The sequence below is a fragment of the Homo sapiens genome, chromosome 4, assembly GCF_000001405.40.
Source record: "Homo sapiens chromosome 4, GRCh38.p14 Primary Assembly".
Lineage (NCBI taxonomy): Eukaryota > Metazoa > Chordata > Mammalia > Primates > Hominidae > Homo > Homo sapiens.
This window is the reverse complement of record NC_000004.12, coordinates 173,496,632-173,506,135: the sequence shown is the minus strand read 5'-3', so window position 1 is coordinate 173,506,135 and position 9,504 is coordinate 173,496,632. Positions and strand designations below refer to the sequence as shown.

Here is a 9,504-nt window from a genome sequence, read left to right as displayed (position 1 = left end):
GTCACCTTTCTTGCCTCACCACACCAGGGTTTGAGATTTAAACTGAAATTCGCTGGGCTTCAGTGTCTACTCACACCATCTAAATTGAGCCCAGAGCTCCCCCTTCAGCCCGGGCGGGGACAACACAGGCTTAGAAGCACGGGGAAACCTAGGAGAGGATTAACTTGGTTCCTAACTTCCAAGTGCCACCTCAGCCGTTTCTCCACTTGTCAGAGGTTTATTTCGTGAGCAGAAGGGACCACCCACCCTTAAACTGGGAAAGAACGAAGTGTGGAGCTCTGGAAACCCACGTGTTAACCTTTGAAAGCAAAGCTCCAGGAGCTCCACCTTCCAAACATCATTATTTGTGCTTCCACCTCCCAGCCGTTGCTTCACGCCTTCTTTCTCATCTAGAGAGGTTGTCTGATGACTGCTTGCTTACACTCTAGAGAGAATGCTTTAGATTATGGATTTGAAAAATTTGCAGAAGGTAGGAGGAGTGAGATAGAACAGGCAAACCTAGGAAGCAAGAAAGGAGTGTTCGGGCCTGTGGCAGGAGGCAATTGTGGTTTGGGAGTTGCTTGGGCAGACATTTCCCCCTATTTTTTCTCCTACAAAGACAGAATCCCAGCACAGAGCTTCTCCGCTGTCTAGCTACTCTCCCCTTTCCCTTTTTCTTCACTTTCCCAATGTACTGATGGCTGAGCAAGAAGAATCTTGTACTGATGTACAAGAATCAGTACAAGAATCTTGTACTGATGTCCCAATATACTGATGGCCGAGCAAGGGATGTGGAGAGGAACCCCACATCCCTGCCTTTTGGGCCATCAGCTCTACAGGGCACTGACTCCAGGTGGGCATTGAGGATAAATTGTTGTTAAAGAGTCCTGAAAGCCACACTCATCCCTGTTGAGCCTTCTCTTTCCCTTTGGACATGGAAATGATGTTCTAGGGGGTGTCAGGTGCATTTCCTGGGTTTTGGGCATCTAGGCCCTAATTGTCTCTGGTGAAGGGGGCAATTCTAAAGTTGGAGGTGGCTAAATGAGTGGTCATTTAATGGGCGTTTTTAACCCCTACAAGGTTATACTAATTCATTTTACAGTCATTACAGTGACAGAAGGTGAGACTATGGTGATTTCTCTTCTTCAGTTACAGTTATTGATCATCTAATTCAGTGGTGACAATCAAGGCTGACAGACAAGTGAAAACAAAATTCAGAAAGTGGCACTGCATTCATGCATTTCTCTCTCCTCTACCATCCTCTGCCATGGTTTCTGCTGCTAGCTGTGGCTAGGGCACCACATTCCACTTTAGGAACCCCTAGAGGAAGAGGATGATCCCCCTGGGTCATGGGGCTGGAATTAGGCTGCCAATGTGAATTGAACTCAGTTTTTCCTCCTCTGAGAAGGATGGTGTTGACCTTTCAGTGACATCTCCTCTCCTGGCAGGGACTCCAGTGGTCTGGCAACTACTCTAAAAATCAAGAAATTCAAGACAAAAATTAAAAGAAACATTAAGAAAAGAGAATAAAAATAATTGTGCACAAAATTTGAAGGGCATTTGATATTTTGCAGCAACCATAGCTAAAACTGCTTGCCTCCATTACACCAGATTTCTCCACGTGGTTTCTAGAGTCCAATACCTTTATTCAATATTTCTGAGCTTCTTTTGCCTGGGAGTCCCACATTTGCAGACAAAGAGGTCTAGTCTCCTGTCTGGTTCTACCCACTGGGGCTGGGATAGGGAAAGCTGGAGGCAGCGGTGGTGACGAGTTGGGGTAGGAAAGGCCCCAGGCTGTGCTGGCAGGTACCTTATAGGTCCTCCCCCATACGGCTACCGGAGGAGCACGCCGTTTGCGCTGCATGCAGGGAAGCCTCTGGGCTCCTTGCCATCCCTGGTGACTTGGGCCAGAGTGATCTTATTACAGTTATTAATGACCAGAGTGATTTCTTAAGCCAAGACCAAAAAGAAATGGATTCAAATGAAAAAAAACCAATGTAGTTCAGACTTTGTGTGAAGGCTGAGAGCGGGGGACTGCACCAGCGAACATGGTCACAGTCGCCTCTTAGGCATCCACTGAGTGCTGGAGGAAGTGGTGCTCGTGAGTGGGTTCGGTGCTCCAGAGTTTGCAGTTGTGCAGGACTGGAATGCAATTACTGGAAACAATTAGACTACACCGTGCTTATGGTGGGCAGAAAATAGAAGACACTTCTGGCACATTTAAGAAAACTTACTATCCCCACGCACCCCGCTTCTTCCCCTGCAGGAGGTTTATTGTAAGTCTCTACTTTGCTACAAATGACACCCTCCTAAAAGCTGTTGGGAGTTTGGGCAGATCCACCACTCATAGAATTAGGGACATCGCGAAGATGTAACTTAAGCTGCTTATCAGAGGCTGAGTGGCAAGTGCTTAAAGCAATTCAGAGTCAGGCACATCTGGGTTGGGTCTTGGCTTCTGGACTGACTTTGTGGTCTCCAGCATGTTGACTTCCTCCTTTATACCTTTGCAAAACAAGGATATTTGTCACATATCCTCATTGCTGTGTGTTTGTGTCTTCGGAAATTCTATTTTCTTCCTAAAAACTTGAAAAGCCATCTCCCCTCAACACTCACCATGCATGGCGAGGTGTAGCTTCCTAGGCCAGCTGTTTACCCTTGCAACACTCCCCTCCCCACCCCAAGACCCTGGACTCTGGGAACTTCACGTCCTTCTCTCTGGTCTTACAAGTGAGTTTTTGAATAGCTTTGATCTGCAATCTCTGACTTTGGTGGACAAGGTCTGAACCTTGAGTTCTGGCTTCTGCTCTTCAGCCAGTTCTATTATCATCCAGCTGGGAAGTCCACGTCCAACCCTCCCCACAAGTGATGGTCCCTGAAGCTGGCCGGATCCCAAGCAAAAACTCCAAGATGTAGCTGGAACACCACCTTCTCCTGCCCACCTGCTGCCAGTCCTCATGTATATGACTGGGGGCTTGGGAGTGGGAACGACACAGGGTCAAGCTGGCCTAAACCGAGAGGTGGACACCTGCTCTAGCTGTGCCAGAGCCCTGGGACGTACCCAGGGACCTGGTCGGTAGGGAACCACCTGAGCTTGAATTCCACTGCCCCTCCCTGAGCTGAGAAGGGTTTGAGGTCCACGGGTGCTAGGTGCTCTCAGAGCACACTCCTTCTTCGTGAGTCCCACTGTGCACCAGACCCCCCTTCTATTTTTCCACTAAGGGAAGTAAACATCTTGCATATATTTCTATAGTGATCAGACCCTAATTATGCCTGATCATGGTCCAGAAACTAGGCTGTTGCAGCCAGAGTGCACCTGGGCTGTGGAAGACGCTTGGAACTTTACACAGATTTCTTTAAAAACTGTTTTGTTTGGACCTTGTGGGGAGGATCAGGAACAGACAGGTTGGTGTCTGAAAATGGAGCAGCCTGGATTCCCCATTTTGAGAAAGGGAGGCCTTGGTGTCACCTGGCAGGTGAAAGCTGGGGATGCAACAGGCCAGTGAGCTTGTGACTGCCCCTGTTTGATCCAATCTTTGCAGCCTCAGGCCACCAGGACTCCTCCCAGGGCCCACATTAGGCCACCATTCAAGTGGGACCTGGTAAAATCTCTTAAACTTGCAGGCTTAGAAAGGAAAGGAGCCAGGCAACGGAGAGCGGAAACATCCTCTCCGTCACATGAACTTTATTGCAGATCAGGAAGTTATCTAACAGCTGCCAAAAATCTTCTGACTCCAGGGCTCCAAATGTTGACTGTTTCTCACACCTCAACACCGGGTATGGAGTCTGCTGCCTTCGGGGTTATTCAGATTTCCCATTCCCTTTCAGAGTCAAACTACCCCCACCTGCCTGGTTGCATTTGGAGATGATTTTCCTTTCTTCCATTCGCGGACCATGTGGCTCACATACTTACCTGGGCTGGCTGTTTCCCCACCCCTCCCCGCCCCACCATAAAGGGAATTCCAAATCTCTTCCTGAAGAGGGAAAGCCAGGTTGAGGAAGGGTCAGAAAAAGGAAGCTGAGTCCGAAGTCCAGGCGTGCAATACTATATTCTTCTCCGGATGCCTTTGGTTCATTCCACAAAAAAGTGCAGCACGAGAAGTAATTTTAATGGGCGCCCTCCCTTCCTTCCATTAACGCACCAGTCTCACTAGGTTCACGCGCAGGTACCTGGCTTTCCGTGGTCTTGTATCCCCCAAAGAACCTGGCAAAGATCTGAGCACAAAGTAGGTGCTGAGACAATAGATCCTGGTTGGTAGAAGGGATGCTCCGAAGGAGAAGGGGCAATTGTTTAAGAATAATTGGATGCAAAGACGCGCGGTGGTTCCTGTGTGTATCCAGTTCATTTCCGCCTCACATATGAGATTACCTCAGGAGGAACGGCTCGCACCTTCAACCTAGCGCCCAAACACAACCTGAATTCTCCTAGATAACCCATGCCTCTGCATCCAGGGAGCCCGCTCCAGCTGACCAGTTTAACAAGGGCAGAGCATCACTGTGACCTCCGCCCGACAGTAATCCTTTCCTGACCCTCTAGGGTCAGGGAGAGCCCGGCCCCCCCTTCTGAATCCAGACACCCCAAACGACCCTGAAAGAGACCTCCGCAGAGGCCTGAGCGCAGAAAGGCCGTTCTTCGTGTGCCTACTGAGAGTCCAAGGGGAGCCAGGGCTGTGCCCCATTGCCCGCAACCACAGGCGCACTGGGAAGGCTGAGGCTGCTGCTCCTGGATTCCAGGCTTTGCGGCTTCCCAGGGCATCTCAAGCCGCATCAAGAATCCCCCATCTTTGGGGCGGCCGAGAGCAAACGCAGAAGTGCTTGAAAACTAGGGCTTGACCGTGACTAGAGGGGGCCCTGGTGTAGCCAATCCCGACGTCATTATCGGCCACGGTTGTTACTGTTCCCTTTTGGCGCCAATCTCCTTCACCATTTGTGATAATCGGTAAGCGCGGAGCTCGGGCCGCGTGGCTCGCACCCCGGAAGTGCTTGCCGAGACCCGGAAGCAGCGGGAGCTCGGACACCCTGCTCTCCAGGGCCAACACTCCTCACTCCGCCCACTTTGGAGGGGCCCCAGTCTGCAAAGCGTCACGGCGTCCGAGAGCAGGTTTCGCATTTGCACCCCGCTCTTGCCCAGCCACTGGGAGCCTCCCGCCTCTGGGTTTCCCCACTTTGGGCAAGCCCCGGCCTTCTGCTCCCCGGAAGGAGAGCGCAGTTCCCTGGAGAGACCTCGAGTGGATTTAGATCCTTGCTTTTAAGATCGCCGTTTCTCCGGCGGTGGGTAGAAGGACGTAAAGGGAAGGACAAATTAACAATCGGGGAGAGTGACTATTTAATAAACTCCCCAAGATTACAGTATAAATTTACTAGGGCCTGTATAAATTTATAAATTTACAGTATAAATTTACTCCCAGCACTTTGGGAGACGGAGGCGGGTGGATCCCTTGAGCTCAGGAGTTTGAGACCAACCTGGGGCAACATGGGGAAACCCCATCTCTACAAAAAATACCAAAATAAATTTAGCTGGGCGTGGTAGCGGAGGCCTGTAGTCCAAGCTACTCCGAAAGCTGAGGTGGGAGAATCACCTGAGCCCAGGAAGTCGACAGCGCAGCGAGCCTTGATCGCGCCACTGCACTCCAGCTTCAGCAACGCGCCTTGAGACCGTCTCAAACACACACACACACACACACACAAAATTTACTAAGGGTCTTCGTTGGTGATTCAGAATTCTGCACGAAATAAAATGGGCATCTCCTTCGCCCGTATTTCCTGCGCTGTTGGCCACTCCCCGGCGAACAGGGGTGGGCGCGAACCCGGGGAGCGCCGGAGGCCTCCGGGTGCACCCCGCAGCTCTTGGGGGAGCAGGGCTCGCTGGCGCGGGGCAGGCCCTGTGACCCACCGTCGTAAGAATGCTTCAGATCCAACCTGGGCTTGTTTCCGTGACGCAGGAAACATCTGGGGCGTTTTCGCAGGGCTTTGGGAAAGTACTTACTTCCGAACTTGGCGCTAAGGTGTTCTAGGAGACACACAAACTTGAATCTCAAAGGGGGATGGGGCCAGAGAGGATGGCAACCCTGCCAGCTGCCTGGGTGCAAACTGGGGAGCTAACCGGTGGCAGGCACTTGGGTGAAGGACAAATTAAACACTTAGAGCCAGGTCCACCCGTTACGTCTCATTGTTTTAATGTCTGTAGTACTTAGGCGCAGTTTGAGAAAGAATAATGCCTTTACATTCAGAAAAACATCAAAGACCCGGTGTTGCTCAATATGGAGCACATATGGTAGTCTCTGAAGGCCTGGCCTGCCAAAACATGTTTCTCAGTATTTTTCTCCTTTCCTTTCTTTCGATCCCTGCCCCCCACTTTTTTTTCTCCCCAAATGGGAGGGAGCCATTGGCTCGGGTTACCTAGGGCGTCTTGCGTTCACGTGAGGCAGTTGGCTGCTGCATGGAGGCCATCAATGAGGCTTTTCAAGAACTGAATCTGTCCTAGGAAAGGACTTTGAAGATGGGCGGGAGTAGGGACCAGGCGGTACACTACCTGTATTCCCAGGCCTTAGCACATTGTTCAGTAGTGGGTGGGGGAGACCCTTACTAAATATTTACTGAAGAATATACTGAACTAGGTGAAGGCAATAGCCTGTCAAACCACTTTTTAAATTTCAGTCTAAGCAAGATTCATTTGCAAAGCTCCTCTTCCTTATCAACTGCTATTACTATTACTATTATTACTACTATTACTACTACTGTTATCTAAACCACTATCCCAGTTTTTAAAATTACCTAGCAGAGAGAGGCAGAGGACAGTGGCTAAAAGTTTAGGCAGTTTGCTTCTGTAATTTTTCTAGGTGAAATTTGCTCAGGGAACACGGATAGGATGGAGCTGGGGAGGTGTCCTCTTTCCCATGCCTAGTGCAGGCTGGGTTCATTACCCCACATTGCCCTCAGTGGGAGGACAGTCCAGATAATTTCATCTCTTTTAGCCTCTTCGATTAAATGGACTCCTTTCATCACCTCTGAAAAATGGTCTGAGGATGTTATCCTTCAGCTAATTAACATGCAGAATTAATATTAAAGGCAGGGGTGAATTCTTAGGGCTCCCATTTGAAAGAAGATCCATGCTGTCTCCAGAACCCGCGGCCTTTTCTAAGGCAATCCTGATGCTGGTGGGGGAAGGAAGCACACCACACATGGAGCCAATTAAACATGAATCTTACCAAATCTTCCAGCATTCTAGTGGCATGCATGACATACACAGAGACCTGTGTGCAAATTACATAACCAATAGTTAGAAAACCTGGATTTTAGACCTGGCTTTGCCATCAACTCACTGCTATCTTGACCAGTCAGTTTCTCTATATTTATTTCTGTCTCTATCTGTCTCTCCGTGTGTATATATGTGTGCATCTATACATACACACACACACACATATACATACATATACAGATGTATTATTAATTTTTAATCTAGGTGATCTGTTTGGTCAGTAAATCTGATTTCTAATCTCATGTTCTCTGATGCTGTAATGTATCAACATTCAATGAGCCCCTTACCCAGACCATATGGAAGCAGCAAAGCCAACACTGGAACCCTGCTCATTCTTATATTAAGTCCGCAGAGAATGTTAAACTTGGAATGAGCTTTAGAGATGTTTCAGCCCCTTCATCTCACAGATGAGTATGCTGGGGCCCAGGGAACTGATTTCTTCAGGTCACAGAGATGTGGCCCACAAATCTTGGTGACAGGTTTAGGTGAACACGGATCAAGTCTTTAGGCTACCTCCTCCCTATCCCCAACATCTGCAGTCCTTACCTGGCTTTCTCATTCAGACCAGGGATATCTGGGCCAAAATTGGGTTCAGGAGCATTAATGTAAAGCAAAACTTAAATGTTTGGTATCATTTCACTTGGGTGGAGCTCTTAAGGGCCATTGGGACAAGGTTTCAGTTCCTCTAATGAGAAGTACAGCAGCAAGTCTGATTTGTTTATAAGAGTCTTGAATTCAATGTAAGAGAAACAAAAATCTCTAGGCAAACTTAACAGAGAGGCAAATTATGTAAGTAAGTAAATCCAATGTTCAGAATAGTATTCAACTGATACTTTCCCTTCACACAACAAACTCCCAAATGATGGATATTGGGAGAAGGCGAAGAAGCTAGTAGGAATTACTCACCATTAAGAGTAAGGTAGGCTGGGTGCAGTGGTTCACGCCTGTAATCCCCGCACTTTGGGAGGCCGAGGCGGGTGGATCACCTGAGGTCCGGAGTTCGAGACCAGCCTGGCCAACATGGTAAAACCCTGTCTCTACTAAGAATTAAGAAAAAAAGAAAACTAGCCGGGCGTGGTGGTGGGTGCCTGTAATCCCAGCTACTCAGGAGGCTAAGGCAGGAGAATTGCTTGAACCCAGAAGACTGAGGTTGCAGTGAGCTGACACAGTGCCACTGCACTCCAGCCTCAGTGACAGAGTGAGACTCCGTCTCAAAAAAAAAAAAAAAGAGTAAGTTTTTTTTTTTTTTTTGCTTGCTTGCTTTCAGGGACTGCCTCTTGATGTGAGGAGATGACTCAAGGACTCTCTGCCATGTTGAAAATTAAGTCTAGGGCACTTCCTCCTGCTTGCCTGGCCTTGGTTGACCTTGACTAGCCCAATTAATGCTGTCTGGCTGGAATCCAAAGTATTTCAGAGAAACAGTCATGATATGTTTTCCCGGGATGTGTAGTGAAACAGGTGGTTTCCCTACCTGGAAGTAGTCTTTTCCTTTATCATCTTCAGGCTAGGGGACCTAAACAACTTGGAGGCTAAAAAAACCCACAAGTCGCACCAAGTCTGAGGGACCATAGGTAGGCAGTGAGGCAGTGTGGGAATGGGCCAGCTAGCCTTGGCAGTCACTCCAGAATGTTGTCCTAGAGAGGAATAGAGCAAGGATGGAGCTGACATTCAGCCAACTGGTGGTCAATGTGTAGCTTTCTGCATTTAAGTCTAGGTGACTGTGCTATAGCTTTGCAATATAGTAGGAAAAGTTCTGCCATTCTTCTTTTTTGTTGTTGTTGTTTTTTTGTTTTTTTGAGACAGAGTCTCACTCTGTTGCCCAGGCTGGAGTGCAGTGGTGTGATCTCAGCTCACTGCACGCTCTGCCTCCCAGGTTCACGCCATTCTCCTGCCTCAGCCTCCCAAGTAACTGGGACTACAGGCGCCCACCACCACACCTGGCTAATTTTTTGTATTTTTAGTAGAGACGGGGTTTCACCGTGTTAGCCAGGATGGACTCGATCTCCTGACCTTGTGATCCGCCTGCCTCAGCCTCCCAAAGTGCTGGCATTACAGGTGTGAGCCACCGCACCTGGCTGCCATTCTTCATAAATGTAATCATCAGGGTCCTGTTTTGGACCTCTTATATTAAACCTTCTCCCTGGGCAATACTTAATCAGAATACTTACCTTGTGAGGTTGTTGTGAGGATTAAATAAGATTATCTACTAAAATGCTTTGCACAGTGCCAGATACACAGTAAGTACTTGATGCCTGTTTGCAAATACTATT

General features: G+C 48.7%; 1 protein-coding gene across 2 annotated transcripts in view, besides 1 other annotated feature; it reads left to right on the top strand.

Moving 5' to 3' along the window:
• SCRG1 (stimulator of chondrogenesis 1) overlaps positions 1 to 9,504 on the top strand; it is a 134,444-nt gene that overhangs the window by 13,009 nt on the left and 111,931 nt on the right. The window lies entirely within an intron of this gene.
• Positions 5,119 to 5,178: an enhancer, noted in NCBI's record as "active region_22160". NCBI's record gives its function as "activates an Ori minimal core promoter by ATAC-STARR-seq in GM12878 lymphoblastoid cells {active_cell/tissue: GM12878}" and the evidence as "EXISTENCE:reporter gene assay evidence [ECO:0000049][PMID:35858748]".